Source organism: Homo sapiens, chromosome 11 (genome assembly GCF_000001405.40).
Source record: "Homo sapiens chromosome 11, GRCh38.p14 Primary Assembly".
NCBI classification, from domain to species: domain Eukaryota; kingdom Metazoa; phylum Chordata; class Mammalia; order Primates; family Hominidae; genus Homo; species Homo sapiens.
The window spans coordinates 63,180,903-63,204,428 of record NC_000011.10 but is presented as its reverse complement, the minus strand read 5'-3'; the positions used below and the strand labels follow the sequence as shown (position 1 = coordinate 63,204,428).

Sequence of the window (23,526 nt, the reverse complement as noted above, 5' to 3'; positions counted from 1 at the left end):
TCTTGCATGTGAGATGGATCTCCTGAATACAGCACACAGATGGGTCTTGACTCTTTATCCAATTTGCCCATCTGTGTATTTTATTTGGGGCATTTAGCCCATTTACATTTAAGGTTAATATGGTTATATGTGAATTTCATAGTGTCGTTATGATGCTAGCTGGTTATTTTGCCCATTAGTTGATGCCGTTTCTTCATATTGTCAATGGTCTTTACAATTTGGTATGTTTCTGCAGTGGCTGCTACCAGTTTTTCCTTTTTATATTTAGTGCTTCCTTCAGGAGCTCTTGTAAGGCAGGCCTGGTGGTGGCAAAATCTCTTAGCATTTGCTTGTCTGCAAAGGATTTTATTTCTCCTTCAATTATGAAGCTTAGTTTGGCTGGATATGAAATTCTGGGTTAAAAATTCTTTTCTTTAAGAGTGTTGATTATTGGCTCCCACTCTCTTCTGGCTTGTAGGGTTTCTGCAGAGTGATCCACTGTTAGTCTGATGGGCTTCCCTTTGTAGGTAACCTGACCTTTCTCTCTGGCTACCCCTAACATTTTTTCTGTCATTTCAACCTTGCTGAATCTGATGCTTATCTGTCTTGGGGTTGCTCTTCTCGAGGAGTATCTTTGTGGTGTTCTCTGTATTTCCTGAATTTGAATGTTGGCCTGTCTTGCTAGGTTGGGGAAGTTCTCCTGGATAATAGCCTGAAGAGTATTTTCCAATTTGGTTTCATTCTCCTCGTCACTTTCATGTACACCAGTCAATCATAGGTTTGGTCTTTTCACATAGTCCTATATTTCTTGGGGACTTTGTTCATTCCTTTTCATTCTTTTTTCTCTAATCTTGTCTTCACACCTTATTTCATTAAGTTGATCTTCAATCTCTGATATACTTTCTTCTGCTTGATCAATTTTGCTATTGATACTTGTGTATGCTTCATGAAGTTCTCATGCTGTGTTTTGCAGCTCCATCAGGTCATTTATGTTCTTCTCTAAACTGGTTATTCTAGTTAGCCATTCATCTATCCTTTTTTCAAGGTTCTTGGCTTCCTTGCATTGGGTTAGAACATGCTCCTTTAGCTCAGAGGAGATTGTTATTACCCACCTTCTGAAGCCTACTTCTGTCCATTTGTCAAGCTCATTCTGTGTCCAGTTTTGTTCCCTTGCTGCCAAGGAGTTGTGATCCTTTGGAGAAGAGGCATTCTTGGTTTTGGAATTTTCAGCCTTTTTGCACTGGTTTTTCTTCATCTTTGTGGATTTATCTACTTCTGGTCTTTGATGTCGGTGACCTTCAGATGGGGTTTTTGTGTGATTGTACTTTTTGTTGATGTTGATGCTATTCCTTTCTGTTTGTTAGTTTGACTTCTAATAATCAGGCCCCTCTGCCGCAGGTCTGATGGCATTTGCTGGAGGTCCACTCCAGACCCTGTTTCCCTGGGTATCACCAGCAGAGGCTGCAGAACAGCAAAGATTGCTGCCTGCTCCTTCCTCTGGAAGTTTCATCCCAGAGGGGCACCTGCCAGATGCCAGCTGGAGCTCTCCTGTATGAGGTGTCTGTCAACCCCTGCTGGGAAGTGTCTCCCTGTCAGAAGGCACCGGGGTCAGGGACCCACTTGAGGAGTCAGTCTGTCCCTTAGCAGAGCTCAAGCACTGTGCTCGGAGATCCACTGCTCTCTTCAGAGCCAGCAAGCAGGAACGTTTAAGTCTGCTGAAGCTGCGCCCACAGCCGCCCCTTCCCCCACGTGCCCTGTCCCAGGGATATGTGAATTTTATCTATAAGCCCGTGACTGGGGCTGCTTCCTTTCTTTTAGAGATGCCCTGCCCAGAGAGAAGGAATCTAGAGAAGCAGTCTGGCTACAGCAGCTTAGGCACTGAGCCGTGGTGGGCTCCGCCCAATTCAAATTTCCTTGTGTCTTTGTTTACACTGTGAGGGGAAAACCGCCTACTCAAGCCTCAGTAATGTTGGACACCCTTCCCCTCACCAAGCTCTAGTGTCCCAAGTCGACTTCAGCCTGCTGTGCTGGCAGTGAGAATTTCAAGCCAGTGGATCTTAGCTTGCTTGGCTCCATGGGGGTGGGATCTACTGAGCTAGACCACTTAACTCCCTGGCTTCAGTGCCCCCTTTACAGGGGAGTGAATGGTTCTGTCTCACTGGCATTCCAGGCACCACTGGGGTATTAAAAAAAAAAAAACTCCTGCAGCTAGCTCAGTGTCTGCCCAAATGACTACCCAGTTTTGTGCTTGAAACCCAGGTCCCTGGTGGTATAAGCACCCAAGGGAATCTCCTGGTCTGCGGGCTGTGAAGACCATGTGAAAAGCATAGTATCTGGGCCCAGATGCACCGTCCCTCACAGCACAGTCCCTCATGGCTTCCCTTGGCTAGGGGAGTGAGTTACCCAACCCCTTGCACTTCCCAGGCAAGGTGATGTCCCAACCTGCTTCTGCTCACCCTCTGTGAGCTGCACCCACTGTCTAACCAGTCCCAATAAGATGAGCCAGGTACCTCAGTTGGAAATGCAGAAATCACCCACCTTCTGCATTGATCTCGCTGGGGGCTGCAGACCAGAGCTGTTCCTCTTCAGCCATCTTGCCAGCCACCCCTCTTTGCCCACTTTTAATGGGGTTTTTTTATTGAAATTTTGTCTAACTTCCTTATAGATTCTGAATATCAGACCTTTATTGGATGCATAGTTTGCAAAAATTTTCTCCCATTCTGTAGGTTGTCTGTTTACTCTGTTGATAGTTTCTTTTACTGTGCAAAAGCTCTTTAGTTTAGTTAGATGCCATTTGTCAATTTTTGCTTTGGTTGCAATTGCTTTGGGTGTTTTTATCATGAAATCTTTTCCTGTGCCTATGTCCTGAATGGTATTGCCTAGGTTGTCTTCCAGGGTTTTTATAGTTTGGGATTTTACGTTTAAGTTTTCAATTTATATTGAGTTAATTTTTGTACATGGTGTAAGTAAGGAGTTCAGTTTTAGTCTTCTGAATATGTCTAGCCAGTTATCATAGCACCATTTATTGAATAGGGAATTATTTCCCCCATTGCTTGTTTTTGTCAGTTTTGTTGAAGATCAGAGAGTTGTAGGTGTTTGGTCTTATTTCTGTGTTCTCTGTTCTGTTCCATTGGTCTATGTGTTTGTTTTTGTTCCAGTACCATGCTGTTTTGGTCACTGAAGCCCTGTAGTAAAGTTTGAAGTTGGGTAGCATGATGGATGCCTCCAGCTTCATTTCTTTTGCTTAGGATTGTCTTGGCTGTTCAGGCTCCTTTTTGGTTTCATATGTATTTTAAAATAGTTTTTCCTAGCTCTGTGAAGAATCTCAGTGGTAGCTGAATAGGAATAGCATTGAATCTATAAATTGCTTTGGGCAGTATGGCCACTTTAACAATATTGGTTCTTCCTATCCATGAGCATGCAATTTTTTCTGTTTGTATCATCTCTGATTTCTTTGAGCAGTGGTTTGTAGTTCTCCTTGTAGAGATCTTTCACCTCCTTAGTTAGCTGTATTCCTAGGCATTTTATTCTTTTTGTGGCAATTGTGAATGGGTGTTCATTCATTATTTGGCTCTTGGCTTGGCTGTTGTTGGTGTACAGGAATGCTAGTGATTTTTGCACATTGATTTTGTACCCTGAGACTTTGCTGAAGTTGTCTATCAGCTTAAGAAGCTTTTGGTCTGAGACTATGGGGTTTTCTTGATATAAGACCTGTCATCTATGAACAGGGATAGTTTGACTTCCTCTCTTCCTATTTGGATGCCCTTTATTTCTTTCTGTTGCCTGATTGCCCTGGCCAGGAATTCCAATACTATGTTGAATAGGAGTGGTGAGAGAGGGCAACCTCATCTTGTGCCAGTTTTCAAGTGGAAAGCTTCCAGCTTTTGCCCATTCAGTATTATGTTGTTTGTGGGTTTGTCATAGATGGCACTTACTATTTTGAGGTATGTTTTGTCAATACCTAGTTTATTGACAGTTTTTTTTAATATTAATGGATGTTGAATTTTATTGAAAGCCTTTTCTGTATCTCTTGAGACAACCATGTGTTTTTGTCTTTAGTTCTGTTTATGTGATGAATCAAATTTATTGATTTGTTTATGTTGAGCCATCCTTACTTCCCAAGGATAAAGTCTACTAGATCATGCTGGATAAGCTTTTCAATGTGCTGCTGGATTCTGTTTACCAGTAATTTTTTAAGGATTTTTGCACTGATGTTCATCAAGGATGTTGGCCTCAAGTTTTCTATTTTTGTTGTATCTCTGCCAGGTTTTGGCGTCAGGATGATGCTGCCCTCATAGAATGAGTTAGGGAGGAGTTTCTACTCCTCAATTTTTTGGAATAGTTTTGGTAGGAATAGTACCAGCTCTTCTCTGTACATTTGGTGGAATTCAGCTGTGAAACCATCAGGTCCTGGGCTTTTTTTGGTTGTTATGTGTGAGAAACAAACTCACTTGTCCAAACCCAAAGAATGGACTCAGAGACACAGAGAACAGCGGAAGTGAGACTTTCAATGGTGATCTTGCAAGATTGGGTGTCTGGCACGCAGGCACATCCAGCACAGTATCAACAAGCAATTTATCCCATAGTGTGCAAGTCCCTCCCCTGGTTCCTCATAGGCTGAATATATGAGGTTACAATCTTCTCGGACGTCGCCTATTGATTTTTGGGTAGTGGCTTCAGGTGTTTTTTTAGGGTTGTCTTGCTGCATTTTTTTTGCAACCCACAATGCCTTGCAATCCTAATGAGCTCAGGGGCTTTTTACATATTTGACTTATGACCTAAGTAGCTGGGCAGGCTGATAAGAACACACAAAGTGAGCTACTTTGGAGACTAGTAAATTTTATCTTAGACTAAATGTCTTTGGTTCAAGTGAGGGCAGCTAAGTGAGGAGGGAGGCGGGAGGGGGAGGCTGAGAAGTAGGCATCAGCTATTCAAGCAGGGTCTTAGTATATCCTGTCTCTTCTGTAGTTCTAAGCCAATTCAAGGCACTTTGTCTTGGAAATGGACCACTGTATACATTATTTCCTTCAGTAGGTTATTTATTACTGCCTCAATTTCAGAGCTTGTTATTGGTCTGTTCGGGGATTCAAATTCTTCCTGGTTCAGTCTTGGGAGGGTTTATGTGTCCAGGAATTTATCCATTTCTTCTAGATTTTCTAGTTTATGTGCATAGAGGTGTTCATAATATTCTCTGATTGTTGTTTGTATTTCTATGAGGTCAATGGTAATATCACCCTTGATGTTTCTGATTTTGTTTATTTGAGTCTTCTCTCTTTTCTTCTTTATTAGTCTAGCTAGGGATCTATATATATATTATTAATTTTTTCAAAAAATGAATCTTTATTAGTTCATCTTTTGAACGGCTTCTGTGTCTCAATCTCCTTCAGTGCAGCTTTAATTTTGATTATTTCTTGTCTTCTAGTTTTGGGATTTATTTGCTCTTTGCTCTCTAGTTCTTTCAGTTGTGATGTCAGGTTGTTAACTTTAGATCTTTCCAACTTTTTGATGTGAGCATTTAGTACTATAAATTTCCACCTTAACACTGCCTTAGCTGTGTCCCAGAGATGCTGGTATGTTGTATCTTTGTTCTCATTAAGTTTCAAAGAATTTCTTGATTTCTGCCATAATTTCCTTACTTATCCAAAAGTCATTCAGGAGCAGGTTATTGAATTTTCATGTAATTGTATGATTTTGAATAAATTTCTTGTCTTGATTTCTTTTTTCTTTTTTTTATTATACTTAAAGTACTAGGGTACATGTGCACAATGTGCAGATTTGTTTCATATGTATACATGTGCCATTTTGGTGTGCTGGACCCATTAACTCATCATTTACATTAGGTATTTCTCCTAATGCTATCCCTCCCCCATCCCCCAACCTCATGACAGGCCCTGGTGTGATGTTCCCCACTCTGTGTCCAAGTGTTCTCATTGTTCGATTACCACCTATGAGTGAGACCATGTGGTGTTTGGTTTTCTGTCCTTGTAACAGTTTGCTCAGAGTGCTGGTTTCCACCTTCATCTATGTTCCTACAAAGGATATGAAGTCATCCTTATGGCTGCATAGTATTCCATGGTTTATATGTGTCATATTTTCTTAATCCAGTCTATCATTGATCGACATTTGAGTTGGTTCCAAGTCTTTGCTATTGTGAATAGTGCCACAATAAACATATGTGTGCATGTGTCTTTATAGCAGCATGATTTATAATCCTTTGGATATATACCCAGTAATGGGATCGCTGGGTCAAATGGTATTTCTAGTTCTAGATCCTTCAGGAATCACCACACTGTCTTCCACAATGGTTGAACTAGTTTACAGTCTCACCAACAGTGTAAAAGTGTTCCTATTTCTCCACATTCTCTCCAGCACCTGTGGTTTCCTGACTTTTTAATGATCGCCTTTCTAACGCTGTGAGATGGTATCTCATTGTGGTTTTGATTTGCATTTCTCTGATGGCCAGTGATGATGAGCATTTTTTCATGTGTTTTTTGGCTGCATAAATGTCTTCTTTTGAGAAGTGTTTGCTCATATCCTTCGCCCACTTTTTGACGGGGTTGTTTCATTTTTCCTTGTAAATTTATTTAAGTTCTTTGTAGATTCTGGATATTAGCCCTTTGTGAGATGAGTAGATTGCCAAAATTTTCTCCCATTCTGTAGGTTGCCTGATCACTCTGATGGTAGCATCTTTTGCTGTGCAGAAGCTCTTTAGTTTACTTAGATGCCATTTGTCAATTATGGCTTTTGTTGCCATTGCTTTTGGTGTTTTAGTCATGAAGTCCTTGCCCATGCCTAGGTCCTGAATGGTACTGCCTAGGTCTTCTTCTAGGGTTTTTATGGTTTTAGGTCTAACATTTAAGTCTTTAATCCATCTTGAATTAATTTTTGTATAAGGTGTAAGGAAGGGATCCAGTTTTAGCTTTCTACATATGGCTAGCCAGTTTCCTCCATTTCTTCTTTTTGCCAGGTTTGTCAAAGATCAGATGGTTGTAGATGTGTGGTATTATATCTGGGGACTCCGTTCTGTTCCACTGGTCTATATCTCTGTTTTGGTACCAGTACCATGCTGTTTTGGTGACTGTAGCCTTGTAGTAGAGTTTGAAGTCAGGTAGCGTGATGCCTCCAGCTTTGTTCTTTTGGCTTAGGATTGTCTTGGCAATGTGGGCTCTTTTTTGGTTCCATATGAGCTTTAAAGTCATTTCTTCTGATTGTTTGAAGAAAGTCATTGGTAGCTTGATGGGGATGGTATTGAATCTATAAATTACCTTGGGCAGTATGGCCATCTTCACGATACTGATTCTTCCTATCCAGAAGCATGGAATGGTGTTCCATTTGTTTGTGTCCTCTTTTATTTCGTTGAGTAGTGGTTTGTAGTTCTCCTTGAAAAGGTCCTTCACATATCTTGTAAGTTGGATTCCTAGGTATTTTATTCTCTTTGAAGTAATTGTGAATGGGAGTTCACTCATGGTTTGGCTCTCTGTGTGTCTGTTATTGCTGTATAGGAATGCTTGTGATTTTTGCACATTGATTTTGTATCCTGAGACTTTGCTGAGTTGCTTATCAGCTTAAGGAGATTTTGGGCTGAGATGATGGGGTTTTCTAAATATACAATCATGTCATCTGCAAACAGGGACAATTTGACTTCCTCTTTTCCTAATTGAATACCCTTTATTTCTTTCTCCTACCTGATTGCCCTGGCCAGAACTTCCAACACTGTGTTGAATAGGACTGGTGAGAGAAGGCATCCCTGTTTTGTGCCAGTTTTCAAAGGGAATGCTTCCAGTTTTTGCCCATTCAGTATGATATTGGATGTGGGTTTGTCATAAATAGCTCTTATTATTTTGAGATACAGCCCATCAATACCTAATTTATTGAGAGTTTTCAGCATGAAGGGCTGTTGAATTTTGTCAAAGGCCTTTTCTGCATCTATTGAGATAATCATGTGGTTTTTGTCGTTAGTTCTGTTTATATGCTGGATTATGTTTATTGATTTGCATAGGTTGAACCAGCCTTGCATCCCAGGGATGAAGTCAACTTGATCGTGGCAGATAAGGTTTTTGATGTGCTGCTGGATTCGGTTTGCCAGTATTTTACTGAGGATTTTTGCATCGATGTTCATCAGGGATATTGGTCTAAAATTCTTTTTTTTGTTGTTGTGTCTCTGCCAGGCTTTGGTATCAGGATTATGCTGGCCTCATAAAATGAGTTATGGAGGACTCCCTCTTTGTCTATTGATTGGAATAGTTTCAGAAGAAATGGTACCAGCTCCTCTTTGTACCTCTGGTAGAATTCGGCTGTGAATCAGTCTGGTCCTGGACTTTTTTTGGTTGGAGGGCTATTAATTATTACCTCAATTTCAGAGCCTCTTATTGGTCTATTCTGGGATTCAGCTTCTTCGTGGTTTAGTCTTGGGAGGGTGGATATGTCCAGGAATTTATCCATTTCTTCTAGATTTTCTAGTTTATTTGCATAGAGGTGTTTATAGTATTATCTGATGGTAGTTTGTATTTCTGTGGGATCCGTGGTGATATCCCCTTTGTCATTTTTTATTGCGTCTATTTGATTCTTCTCTCTTTTCTTCTTTATTAGTCCTGCTAGTGGTCTATCTATTTTGTTGATCTTTTCAAAAAACCAGCTCCTGGATTCATTAATTTTTTAGAGCTCTTTGTGTCTCTATCTCCTTCAGTTCTGCTCTGATCTTAGTTATTTCTTGCCTTCTGCTAGCTTTTGAATGTGTTTGCTCTTGTTTCTCTAGTTCTTTTAATTGCGATGTTAGGGTGTCAATTTTGGATCTTTCCTGCTTTCTCTTGTGGGCATTTAGTGCTATAAATTTCCCTCTACACACTGCTTTGAATGTGTCCCAGAGATTCTGGTATGTTGTGTCTTTGTTCTCGTTGGCTTCAAAGAACATCTTTATTTCTGCCTTCATTTTGTTATGTACTCGGTAGTCATTCAGGAGCAGGTCGTTCAGTTTCCATGTAGTTGAGTGGTTTTGAGTGAGTTTCTTAATCCTGAGTTCTAATTTGATTGCACTGTGGTCTGAGAGACAGTTTGTTGTGATTTCTGTTCTTTTACATTTGCTGAGGAGAGCTTTACTTCCAACTTTGTGGTCAATTTTGGAATAAGTGCGGTGTGGTGCTGAGAAGAATGTATATTCTGTTGATTTGGGGTGGAGAGTTCTGTAGATGTCTATTAGGTCCACTTGGTGCAGAGCTGAGTTTAGTTCCTGTATATCCTTGTTAACATTCTGTCTCACTGAGCTGTCTAATGTTGACAGTGGGGTGTTAAAGTCTCCCATTATTATTGTGTGGGAGTCTAAGTGTCTTTGTAGGTCTCTAAGGACTAGCTTTATGAATCTGGGTGCTCTTGTATTGGGTGCATATATATATTTAGGATAGTTAGCTCTTCTTGTTGCATTGATCCCTTTACCATTATGTAATGGCCTTCTTTGTCTCTTTTGATCACTGTTGGTTTAAAGTCTGTTTTATCACAGACTAGGATTGCAACCCCTGCTTTTTTTTTTTTTTTTTTTTTTTTTTTTTTTTTTTTTTTTTTTTTTGCTTTCCATTTGCTTGGTAGATTTTCCTCCATCCCTTTATTTTGAGCCTATGTGTGTCTCTGCACATGAGATGGGTCTCCTGAATACAACACACTGATGAGTCTTGACTCTTTATACAATTTGCCAGTCTGTGTCTTTTAACTGGGGCATTTAGTGCATTTACATTTAAAGCTAATATTGTTATGTGTGAATTTGATCCTGTCATTATGATGTTAGCTGATTATTTTGCTCGTTAGTTGATGCAGTTTCTTCCTAGCATCGATGGTCTTTACATTTGGCATGTTTCTGCAGTGGCTGATACCCGTTGTTCCTTTCCATGTTTAGTGCTTCCTTGAGGAGCTCTTTTAGGGCAGGCCTGATGGTGACAAAATCTCTCAGCATTTGCTTGTGTGTAAAGGATTTTATGTCTCCTTCACTTATGAAGCTTAGTTTGGCTGCATATGAAATTCTGGGTTGAAAATTCTTTTCTTTACCCGACCTTTCTCTGTGGCTGCCCTTAACATTTTTTCCTTCAACTTTGGTGAATATAACAATATGTGTCTTGGGGTTGCTCTTCTTGAGGAGTATCTTTGTGGCGTTCTCTGTATTTCCTGAATTTGAATGTTGGCCTGCTTTGCTAGGTTGGGGAAGTTCTCCTGGATAATATCCTGAAGAGTGTTTTCCAACTTGGTTCCGTTCTCCCCATCACTTTCAGGTACATCAATCAAACATAGATTTGGTCTTTTCACACAGTCACATATTTCTTGGAGGCGTTGTTCATTTCTTTTTACTCTCTTTTCTCTAAACTTCTCTTCTCACTTCATTTCATTCATTTGTTCTTCAATCACTGATACCCTTTCTTCCACTTGATCGAATTGGCTACTGAAGCATGTGCATGCATCTCGTAGTTCTCATGCCATGGTTTTCAGCTCCATCAGGTCATTTAAGGTTTTCTCTACACTGTTTATTCTAGTTAGCCATTTGTCGAATCTTTTTTCAAGGTTTTTAGCTTCCTTGCAATGGGTTTGAACATCCCCCTTTAGCTCAGAGAAGTTTGTTATTACCGATCTTCTGAAGCCTACTTCTGTCAACTCATCAAAGTCACCTCCGTCCAGCTTTGTTCCATTGCTGGCAGGGAGCTGCAGTCCTTTGGAGGAGAAGAGGCACTCTGGTTATTAGAATTTTCAGCTTTTCTGCTCTTGTTTCTCCCCATCTTTGTGGTTTTATCTACCTTTGATCTTTGATGATGGTGACATACAGATGGGGTTTTGGTGTGGATGTCCTTTTTGTTGATGTTGGTGCTATTCCTTTCTGTTTGTTAGTTTTCCTTCCAACAATCAGGACCCTCAGCTGCAGGTCTGTTGGAGTTTGCTGGAGGTCCACTCCAGACCCTGTTTGCCTGGGTGTCACCAGCAGAGGCTGCAGAACAGCAAACATTGCAGAACAGCAAATGTTGCTTCCTGATCCTTCCTCTGGAACTTCGTCTCAGGGGGGCACCCAGTTGTATGAGGTGTCAGTCAGCCCCTATTGGGAGGTGTCTCCCAGTTAGGCTACTCGGGGTTCAGGGACCCACTTTAGGAGGCAGACTGTCTGTTCTCAGATCTCAAACTCCATGGTAGGAGGACCACTGCTCTCTTAAAAGCTCAGTTGGATATACAGAAATCACCCATCTTCTTCATCACTCATGCTGGGAGGTGTAGACTGGAGCTGTTCCTATTCAGTTATCTTGGAACAATCTCTTGTCTTGATTTCTAATTAGATTGTGCTGTGGTCTGAGAGACTGTTTTTATGATTTCAGTTATTTTGCATTTGCTGAGGGGTGTTTTGCTTCTGATTAAGTGATTGATTTTAGAATATGTGACATGTGGCAATGAGAAGAATGTATATTCTATTGGTTTGGGTGGAGAGTTCTTCAGATACATGTCAGGACCATTTGATCCAGTGCTGATGTCAGCTCCTGAATATCTTTGTTAATTTTCTGTCTTGATGATCTGTCTAATATTGTCAGTGGAGTGTTAAAATCTCCCACTCTTATTGTGTGGGAATCTTTCTTGTTGAAGGTCTCTAAGAACTTGCTTTATGAATTTGGGTACTCCTGCATTGGATGCATACATATTTAAGATAGTTAGATCTTCTTGTTGAATTGAACCCTTTGCCATTATGTAATGCCTTCTTTCTCTATTTCATGTTTGTTGGTTTAAACTCTGTTCTGTCAGAAAGTAGGATTGCAACCCCTGGTTTTTCTGCCTTTTTATTTTATTGGTTGATTTTTCTACATCCCTTAACTTTGAGCCTGTGTGTGCTATTGCATGTGAGATGGATCTCTTAAAGACAGCACACCAATGGGTCTTGTTTTTTTATCCAGATTTCCACTCTGTGTCTTTTAACTGGGGCATTTAGCTTATTTACATTTAAGGTTAGTATTGATACGTGTGGATTTGATCCTGTCATCATGATGCTAACTGATCATTTTTCAGACTTGTTCATGAGTCTGCTTTATAGTGTCTCTGTCCTGTGTACTTCAGTGTGTTTTTGTAATGGCTGGTAATGGACTTTCTTTTCCATATTTAGTGCTTCTTTCAGGAGCTCTTGTAAGACAGGTCTGGTGGTAATGAACTCCCTCAACACTTGCTTGTCTGAAAAGGGATCTTATTTCTCCTTCATTTCTGAAGCTTAGTTTGGCCAAATATGAAATTCTGGATTAGAATTTCTTCTCTTAAGAATGTTGAATATTCATCCCCAATCTCTTCTGGCTTGTAGGGGGTTTCATCTGAGAGGCCCACTATTAGTCCAATGGGCTTCCTTTTGTAGGTGACTTGGCCTTTCTTTCTAGCTGCATTTAACATTTTTTCTATCATCATTTCAACCTTGGAGAACCTGAATATTATGTGTTTTGAAGATGATCTTCTTGTGAAGTATCTTACTGGAATTCTGTGCATTTCCTGCATTTCCTGAATTTGAATGTTTGCCTCTCTAGCTAAGTTGGGAAACTTCTTATGGAAGATATCCTGAAATGTGATCTCCAAGTTGGTTCCATTCTTCCAATCCCTTTCAGGTACATCAGTCAGTTGTAGATTCAGTCTCTTCTGTTGCTTTTATTCCTTTTCATTCTTTTTTCTCTATTCTTGTCTGACTGTCTTATTTCACAAAGGCAGTCTGCAAGCTCTGAGATTATTTCTTCTTCTTAGTTTATTCTGCTTTTAATATTTGTGATTGGGGGGGTGGAGCCAAGATGGCCAAATAGGAACAGCTCCAGTCTACAGTTCCCAGTGTGAGCAACACAGAAGACAGGAGATTTCTGCATTTCCAACTGAGGTACCAGGTTCATCTCAATGGGGAGTGTCAGACAGTGGGTGCAGGACAGTGGGTGCAGTGCACTGAGCATGAGCTGAAGCAGGGTGAGGCATTGCCTCACCCAGGAAGCACAAGGCATCAGGGAATTCCCTTTCCTAATCAAAGAAAGGGGTGACAGAGGGCACCCAGAAAATCGGGTCACTCCCACCCTAATACTGTGCTTTTCAATGGTCTTAGCAAACGGCATACCAGGAGATTATATCCCATGCCTGACTCAGAAGGTCCTATGCCCACAGAGCCTCACTCATTGCTAGCACAGCAGTCTGAGATCAAACTGCAAGGTGGCAGCGAGGCTGGGGGAGGGGCACCCACCATTGCCAAGGTTTGAGTAGGTAAACAAAGCAGCTGGGAAGCTCCAACTGGGTGGAGCCCACCGCAGCTTGAGGAGGCCTGCCTGCCTTTGTAGACTCCACATCTCAGGGCAGGGTATAGCCAAACAAAAGGCAGCAGAAAACTCCGCAGACTTAAATGTCCCTGTCTAACAGCTTTGAAGAGAGTAGTGGTTCTCCCAGCACATAGCTGGAGATCTGAGAATGGGCAGACTGCCTCCTCAAGTGGGTCCCTGAACCCTGAGTAGCCTAACTGGGAGGCAGCCCCCAGTAGGGGCAGACTGACACCTCACACGGCTGGGTACTCCTCTGAGACAAAACTTCCAGAGGAACAGTCAGGCAGCAACATTTGCGGTTCACCAATATCCGCTGTTCTGCAGCCTCTGCTGCTGATACCCAGACAAACAGGGTCTGGAGTAGACCTCCAGCAAACTCCAACAGACCTGCAGCTGAAGGTCCTGACTGTTAGAAGGAAAACTAACAAACAGAAAGGACATCCACACCAAAATCCCATCTGTAAGTCACCATCATCAAAGAGCAAAGGTAGATAAAACCACAGAGATGGGGAAAAAACAGAGTAAAAAAAACTGGAAACTCTAAAAATCAGAGTGCCTCTCCTCCTCCAAAGGAATGCAGCTCCTCACCAGCAATGGAACAAAGCTGGACAGACAATGACTTTGACGAGCTGAGAGAAGAAGGCTTCAGATGATCAAACTACTCCGAGCCAAAGAAGGAAGTTCGAACTCATGGCAAAGAAGTTAAAAACCTTGAAAAAAAAATTAGACGAATGGCTAACTAGAATAACCAATGCAGAGAAGTCCTTAAAGGACTTGATGGAGCTGAAAACCACGACACGAGAACTACATGATGAATGCACAAGCCTCAGTAGCCGATTCAATCAACTGGAAGAAAGGGTATCAGTGATGAAAGATCAAATGAATGAAATGAAATCAGAAAAGAAGTGTAGAGAAAAAAGAGTAAAAAGAAACAAGAAAAGCCTCCAGGAAATATGGGACTATCTGAAAAGACCAAATCTACATCTGATTGGTGTACCTGAAAGTGATGGGCAGAATGGAATGAAGTTGGAAAACACTCTGCAGGATATTATCCAGGAGAACTTCCCCAATCTAGCAAGGCAGGCCAACATTCAAATTCAGGAAATACAGAGAACACCACAAAGATACTCCTCAAGAAGAGCAACTCCAAGACACATAATTGTCAGATTCACCAAAGTTGAAATGAAGGAAAAAATGTTAAGGGCAGCCAGACAGAAAGCTTGGGTTACCCACAAAGGGAAGCCCATCAGACTAACAGCTGATCTGTCGGCAGAAACTCTACAAGCCAGAAGAGAGTGGGGGCCAATATTCAACGTTCTTAAAGAAAAGAATTTTCAACCCAGAATTTCATATCCAGCCAAACTAAGCTTCATAAGTGAAGGAGAAATAAAATCCTTTACACACAAGCAAATGCTGAGAGATTTTGTCACCATTAGGCCTGCCTTAAAAGAGCTCCTGAAGGAAGCACTAAACATGGAAAGGAACAACCGGTACCAGCCACTGCAGAAACATGCCAAATTGTAAAGACCATCGATGCTAGGAAGAAACTGCATCAACTAATGAGCAAAATAACCAGCTAACATCATAATAACAAGATCAAATTCACACATAACAATATTACCCTCAAATGTAAATAGGCTAAATGCTCCAATTAAAAGACACAGACTGGCAAATTGTTTAAAGAGTCAAGACCCATCAATGTGCTGTATTCAGGAGACCCATGTCATGTGCAGAGACAAAGATAGGCTCAAAATAAAGGGATGGAGGAAGATCTACCAAGCAAATGGAAACAAAAAAAAGCAGGGGTAGCAATCCTAGTCTCTGATAAAACAGACTTTAAACCAACAATGATCAAAAGAGACAAAGAAGGCCATTACATAATGGTAAAGGGGTCAATTCAACAAGAAGAGCTAACTATCCTAAATATATATGTGCCCAATACAGGAGTACCCAGATTCATAAAACTAGTCCTTAGAGACCTAGGAAGAGACTTAGGCTCCCACACAATAATAATGGGAGACTTTAACACCCCACTGTCAACATTAGACAGATCAATGAGACAGAAAGTTAACAAGGATATACAGGAACTAAACTCAGCTCTCACCAAGTGGACCTAATAGACATCTACAGAACTCTCCACCCCAAATCAACAGAATATACATTCTTCTCAGCACCACACCGCACTTATTCCAAAATTGACCACATAGTTGGAAGTAAAGCACTCCTCAGCAAATGTAAAAGAACAGAAATTATAACAAACTGTCTCTCAGACCACAGTGCAATCAAACTAGAACTCAGGATTAAGAAACTCACTCAAAACCACTCAACTACATGGAAACTGAACAACCTGCTTTTGAATGACTACTGAGTACATAACAAAACGAAGGCAGAAATAAAGATGTTCTTTGAAGCCAACGAGAACAAAGACACAACATACCAGAATCTCTGGGACGCATTCAAAGCAGTGTGTAGAGGGAAATTTATAGCACTACATGCCCACAAGAGAAAGCAGGAAAGATCCAAAATTGACACCCTAACACCGCAATTAAAAGAACTAGAGAAACAAGAGCAAACACATTCAAAAGCTAGCAGAAGGCAAGAAATAACTAAGATCAGAGCAGAACTGAAGGAGATAGAGACACAAAGAACTCTTCAAAAAATCAATGAATCCAGGAGCTGGTTTTTTGAAAAGAGCAACAAAATAGATAGACCGCTAGCAGGACTAATAAAGAAGAAAAGAGAGAAGAATCAAATAGACGCAATAAAAAATGACAAAGGGGATATCACCACCGATCCCACAGAAATACAAACTACCATCAGACAATATTATAAAAACCTCTATGCAAATAAACTAGAAAAACTAGAAGAAATGGATAAATTCCTGGACACATCCACCCTCCCAAGACTAAACCAGGAAGAAGTTGAATCTCTGAATAGACCAATAACAGGCTCTGAAATTAAGGCAATAATCAATAGCTTACCAACCAAAAAAAGTCCAGGACCAGATGGATTCACAGCCGAATTCTACCAGAGGTACAAAGAGGAGCTGGTATCATTCCTTCTGAAACTATTCCAATCAGTAGAAGAAAAGGGAATCCTCCCTAACTCCTTTTATGAGGCCAGCATAATCCTGATACCAAAGCCTGGCAGAGACACAATAAAAAAAGAGAATTTTAGACCAATATCCCTGATGAACCTTGATGCAAAAATCCTCAATAAAATACTGGCAAACCAAATCCAGCAACACATCAAAAAGCTTATCCAACATGATCAAGTGGGCTACATCCCTGGGATGCAAGGCTGGTTCAACCTATGCAAATCAATAAATGTAATCCAGCATATAAAGAGAACCAATGACAAAAACCACATGATTATCTCAAAAGATGCAGAAACGGCCTTTGATAAAATTCAACAATTCTTCATCCTAAAAATTCTCAATAAATTAGGTATTGATGAGAGGTATCTCAAAATAATAAGAGCTATCTATGACAAACCCACAGCCAATATCATACTGAATGGGCAAAAACCGGAAGCATTCCCTTTGAAAACTGGCACAAGACAGGGATGCCCTCTCTCACCACTCCTATTCAACATAGTGTTGGAAGTTCTGGCCAGGGCAATCAGGCAGGAGAAGGAAATAAATGTATTCAATTAGGAAAAGAGGAAGTCAAATTGTCCCTCTTTGCAGATGACATGATTGTATATCTAGAAAACCCCATTGTCTCAGCCCAAAATCTCCTTAAGCTGATAAGCAACTTCAGCAAAGTCTCAGGATATAAAATAAGTGCACAAAAATCACAAGCATTCTTATACACCAATAACAGACAAACAGAGAGCCAAATCATGAGTGAACTCCCATTCGCAACTGCTTCAAAGAGAATAAAATACCTAGGAATCCAACTTACAAGAGATCTGAAGGACCTCTTCAAGGAGAACTACAAACCACTGCTCAATGAAATAAAACAGGATAAAAACAAATGGAAGAACATTCCATGCTCATGGGTAGGAAGATTCAATATCATGAAAATGGCCATACTGCCCAAGGTAATTGATAGATTCAATGACATCCCCATCAAGCTACCAATGACTTTCTTCATAGAATTGGAAAAAACTACTTTAAAGTTCATATGGAACCAAAAAAGAGCCCACATTGCCAAGTCAATCCCAAGCCAAAAGAACAAAGCGGGAGGCACCATGCTACCTGACTTCAAACTCTACTACAAGGCTACAGTCACCAAAACAGCATGGTACTGGTACCAAAACAGAGATATAGACCAATGGAACAGAACAGAGCCCTCAGAAATAATGCCACATATCTACAACTATCTGATCTTTGACAAACCTGACAAAAACAAGAAATAGGGAAAGGATTCCCTATTTAATAAATGGTGCTGGGAAAACTGGCTAGCCATATGTAGAAAGCTGAAACTGGATCCCTTCCTTACACCTTATACAAAAATTAATTCAAGATGGATTAAAGACTTAAATGTTAGACCTAAAAGCATAAAAACTGTAGAAGAAAACCTAGGCGATACCATTCAGGACATAGGCATGGGCAAGGACTTCATGTCTAAAACACCAAAAGCAATGGCAACAAAAGCCAAAATTGACAAATGGAATCTAATTAAACTAAAGAGCTTCTGCACAGCAAAAGAAACTACCATCAGAGTGAACAGGCAACCTACAGAATGGGAGAAAATTTTTGCAATCTACTCATCTGACAAAGGGCTAATATCCAGAATCTACAATGAACTCAAACAAATTTACAAGAAAAAAACAAACAATCCCAACAAAAAGTGGGCAAAGGATATGAACAGACACTTCTCAAAAGAAGACATTTATGCAGCCAAAAGACACAGGAAAAAATGCTCATAATCACTGGCCATCAGAGAAATGCAAATCAAAACCACAATGAGATACCATCTCACACCAGTTAGAATGGTGATCATTAAAAAGTCAGGAAACAACAGGTGCTGGAGAGGATGTGGAGAAATAGGAACACTTTTACACTGTCGGTGGGACTGTAAACTAGTTCAACCATTGTGGAAGTCAGTGTGGCAATTCCTCAGGGATCTAGAACTAGAAATACCATTTGACCCAGCCATCCCATTACTGGGTATATACCCAAAGGATTATAAATCATGCTACTATAAAGACACATGCACACGTATGTTTATTGTGGCATTATTCACGATAGCAAAGACTTGGAACCAACCCAAATGTCCAACACTGATAGACTGGATTAAGAAAATGTGGCACATATACACCATGGAATACTATGCAGCCATAAAAAATGATGAGTTCACGTCCTTTGTAGGGACATGGATGAAATTGGAAATCATCATTCTCAGTAAACTATCGCAAGAACAAAAAACCAAACACCGCATATTCTCACTCATAGGTGGGAATTGAACAACGAGATCACAGGGACACAGGAAGGGGAATATCACACTATGGGGACTGTGGTGGGGTGGGGGGAGGGGGGAGGGATAGCATTGGGAGATATACCTAATGCTAGATGACGAGTTAGTGGGTGCAGCGCACCAGCATGGCACATGTATACATATGTAACTAACCTGCACAATGTGCACATGTACCCTAAAACTTAAAGTATATTAATAAATAAATAAATAAAAAATAAAAATAAAAAAAGAAAATGTGGCACATATACACCATGGAATACTATGCAGCCATAAAAAAGGATGAGTTCATGTCCTTTGTAGAGACATGGATGAAGCTGGAAACCATCATTCTCAGCAAACTATCGCAAGGACAGAAAACCAAACACCACATGTTCTCACTCATAGGTGGGAATTGAACAATGAGAACACATGGACACAGGAAGGGGAACATCACTCACCAGGGCCTGTTGTGGGGTGAGGGGAGGGGGAAGGGATAGCATTAGGAGATATAACTAATGTTAAATGACGAGTTAATGGGTGCAGCACACCAACATGGCACATGTATACATATGCAACTAACCTGCACATTGTGCACATGTACCCTAAACCTTAAAGTATAATAAAAAAATAAAATAAAATAAAATACTTGTGATTGCATTATGAAATTCTTGTAGCGTGTTTTTCAGCTTTATCAGGTCAGTTACGTTCTACTCTATGATATTTTGTCTGTCAGGTCCTGCAATGTGTTACATGATTTTTAGCTTCCTTGCATTGGGTTACAGTGTACTCCTGTAGCTCAGTGAACTTCATTCCTATCCATATTCTGAATTCTGCTTCTGTCATGTCAGCCATCACTACTGCGTTTTCATTTGCTAAACCAATAACCCATAAGACAGGACATAGCAATAAATCATTGCCTGGGAGTTATTCATGTTCCTGACCATCCTTTCCTTAACAAGTATTGTAGAAACAGAATTATTACAAAAATGTTTTCTCCAATAGAGGAAAATATTTGAGTAGATATCCTTAATTGTGATCTATGTTTATATGTACATCCCTATAAAGAAATTTGTGATAAAGTTTGAGATGCTTTTAATTGTCGTAGGTGATATTGGATGATAGGAAGGGACATCAATTTACCTGTATACATTTCTAAGAACTGCATAGTTGCTCCAGTTAAAAACATAAAGGCAAAACGAACAATTTACATCTTGTCCTGTGCTCTCTCTTCCTTCTATTTACTTTACAAACCCTAATGTATGATTAACTATACCCCTTCCCTTAACAAAATCAGTTCAGTGGAGGAAGCCTATTTGGTCTTTACCTCAGAGAGATAATTACAGATTTAATACAGAGAGAAAGTTCAGATAGAGAGAAAGTGTACTCCTTGTCAGGCTCATCCATTAGTTCCTCTTATCTCTGTAACAATCATACATGATAACATTGTCCCATTTACATAGATGAGCAAACTGAGGAAGATTTAGGTAAATGACTTGCTAATATATCCAGTTTTGGTCATAGATGGTATGGCCAGAAATGAATCTAGTCTCTATGAGGCCTCAAGCATACATCAATTATTTCAGGGTCTTTACTTTAGGAAAAAGAACACATTATGAATAGACATTTGTTATGCCCTTACTAGGACCTTGGCAGGCATCTGTACAAGTGATGATTCCTCATGCTTCAGCATCAGGAGCTCCATGACAAATTTGCTGAATAAGAGGGATGCCAATATGACTCAAGTGTTTATCCCAACAGTGAATGTGTACTGCACAGAGAGTCACCCTTACATTTTCCTGGTGATGGCACAAGAGAATGTAGGCTTTTATTTCCTGGTATAACCAAACAAGAGGTGGGTATTAGCTTAGAGGGGAAAGGCATCTCAGGATAAATGTTATGTGAAAAAATGAGTAAGTAGTGGTTGGCTGCACCTCTGTCCTCTTCTTTGCTCAGGTGGCTGGCAGAGTCTGCTCGGTGGCTCATTATCAACAACAAACCAGAAGAGGGCTTAAAGGAACTTAGAAAAGCTGCACACAGGAATGGAATGAAGAATGCTGAAGACATCCTAACCATGGAGGTAAGCAAGACGGGAGCTGGATATGGGATGCTGGGAAGACATAAATTGTCATCTATACTTGTTGGTGTTCATAAGGTGAATAAAGGAGAGAAACACAGGTAGAGTTATGGGTCATCTCACCTCACGATCATTCTCAATGGGTGTCAACATTGGATTAACATTGAAAGAGAATATCCTGTTGCTGAAAGGATGGGACACAGATATTTTACTCAACAGAGGCAGAGGCACAGAGTGTTAACAATGCAAATTTTGCACTGGACTCACTCTAACTCCATAATAGAAAGTAACCTAAATTAGTTCATTACTTCCCAGTTATTATTCTGTGGCCTTCTTTCAGGGTAATAAGGACAGAGGAAGGAAGGATTAGGGAGCAAACAGAATAGAACATAAGGAGGTTCACTTATTTGTTCACTCTGTCATATATTCTTTCATTCAAGATATATTTAGTGAGTGCCTACCTGTTCAAGATTTCATTCTTTCTTGGAAATATGACAGTACCAACACCAGTCCAAATCTATATTTGTATGGAGTTTCTTCTACTTACTATAAGCTTTAAAGCATGGCTGAGTGGAAATGCCTGGGGGAAGTCTTTATCTTTTTTTCCACCCCATGGATTATTAAGTAAATGTAAAGTATTTATCAAAAAATTATAGTATGCCACAAATGGTACTAGGTCATGAATGACAGAGGAAGTCAGGGTCACAGCCTGAATGGAGCTTTTACTTTAATATGAGAGAGGAGAACTAATGGACATGTTTAAATCTAAGTGTTGGAAATTATAAAAGTATAGAAAGAATGTTAATGAAGACAAGAAAAATACATTTTACCTTATTTTACTGAAACAGGAGAGGACTAGGAGCTAGTTAATCAGAGAGAATGAATAAAACATCTCTTAAGACATGGTCAATGACATATCTGATGGAACTTAGTCCCAGAAGGAAGCACAGCTCCTTCAAAAGGAGATTTGAAATAAGAAGCCTGAAAATCTTCCTGTGAGTTAACGTTCAACAGAAGGTGGCAGGAAGAAATAAATATTTCCCACAGAGATGAACCCATTGCAGAGACAATAGCACAGGCATCCCAATAGAATAGTGAAAATATTGGCATAGCATTTTTTTTAAAAAGGAAATGTTGAAATTCAGATGGAACTGAATGTCATTTCTAGACTGTATCTAAATATATATAAAGAATATATAGAGAGAATATATATATATATATAGTGTAATTCTTTTGGGTCAACTGAATTCTCAGATGCTATCTGTGGTTTCATACACACACACCTAGCATGTGACCTACAAGGTTGGCCCAATAAGAAAATAAAAGCTACTCTTACAGAAGTTCAGGGAGATTCAAAACAACGACAACAACAACAACAATTAAGTGTTACAAAAAACAGTAGAATCCAAAAAATAGCAATGCATTATCTCAAAGTGAATGGCAACTGACTGTCCCCTCAGCACCCAGAGGAAGGCCAGTGTTGCTCAAAAAGAGCAATTGGTTTAGGATGTGGATTCTATGCATGAATGGGTACCTAATATTGTGTTAACTTGATTTTTTTATTTTGTAAATATTATCCATATGTGTGTGGTCTTATTCCTGTTTCAACCTCCATCTGACAGACTGCTTAACACACCTACTCTAGGAAGCCCTTCTAGCCTAAAGCAAATCCACTTTATGTCAATAGCAATCCGTTGATCAGTCTAATTTTAGTGGTCAGCGAGTTCAGTACGTAACATTCATCTCCTATGCCCAAACCACACATAACTGAGAGATAGTTAAAGGGTTCAGAAACATGGAGATCAAAATTTTTAGCATTTGTACTACTGAGAAAACTGGAATAGAAGACATGACTTCACGTACCTTGCCTCAACAGGATTTCTAACACTTCATCCCAGAATTAAGCTTACTCACCAGTCACAGGTTTTCCCAGAGGTGCAGAGCCTAACCTGATAAATATAGGATGTGGCCCAGAAAGCAGACTTGAATGCAATCTCTTTCTAAACGTGTTCTGGGCACTACAGCATGCCTGTCTCATTCTCCCACACTCACCAACAATACCATAGTCCTCCACAGACAACTTAGGGTATGTGGAGAGGGACCAAGATTATCCCTGTTGAAACTTGTTCTTCACAGAAACATAAGGGTTAGTTTCCAGCTTCATCCATCATTCTCATCAAACTATCGCAAGGACAAAAAAACTAACACCGCATGTTCTCACTCATAGGTGGGAATTGAACAATGAGAACACATGGACACAGGAAGGGGAACATCACACACCAGGACTGTTGTGGGGTGGGGGGAGGGGGGAAGGATAGCATTAGGAGATATACCTAATGCTAAATGACGAGTTAATGGGTGCAGCACACCAACATGGCACATGTATATCATGTACCCTAAAACTTAAAGTATAATAATAAAACATAAGGGTTAGGAAGAAAGTACCCCACTCCCAAACCTCCAGCATTTCTGAAACAAGAACCAAAATAAACTCTCTCAGGAAATTTATCTCTTTCCTGAGGCAGGCAAACTGTTTTTCACCAAAGGCAGTTCAGCTGAGAACCAGGTCTTTGGGGCCCATCTGGTATAAATGGAGCTTTGGAGTTTAATCCAAGTAACTCTTCATTTTTTTCCCCATCCTGATCTGAATCTCTAACCTACATATTCTTTTCAATGCTCTGCAGCCAATTAAATCTCTTGTCTAAAATAGCCTTGATAAATAATTTCTCTGAGGCTTCTTTAACTCTCTATTCTAACTTCCATACCACTTTTATATTTGCCATTGCATTTTTAA

The 23,526-nt window shown here is 40.1% G+C and overlaps 1 protein-coding gene across 5 annotated transcripts in view, besides 1 other annotated feature; it reads left to right on the top strand.

Moving 5' to 3' along the window:
* Positions 1 to 23,526, top strand: part of SLC22A25 (solute carrier family 22 member 25) — an 85,163-nt gene that overhangs the window by 39,171 nt on the left and 22,466 nt on the right. For 4 of the 5 annotated variants that reach the window (NM_199352.6, XM_047426917.1, NM_001394059.1 and 1 more), the window contains exon 8: positions 20,612 to 20,735. In NM_199352.6, the coding sequence (NP_955384.3) occupies positions 20,612 to 20,735 (124 nt within the window). Of the gene's footprint in view, positions 1 to 20,300; positions 20,511 to 20,611; positions 20,736 to 23,526 lie in introns of those variants that run through there. The other variant, XM_017017695.2, reaches the window with a different exon arrangement.
* Positions 1,757 to 1,936: a silencer, noted in NCBI's record as "fragment chr11:62969965-62970144 (GRCh37/hg19 assembly coordinates)". NCBI's record gives its function as "represses an EF-1alpha promoter that drives an FKBP-Casp9 reporter gene in an ReSE screen in K562 erythroleukemia cells {active_cell/tissue: K562}" and the evidence as "EXISTENCE:reporter gene assay evidence [ECO:0000049][PMID:32094911]".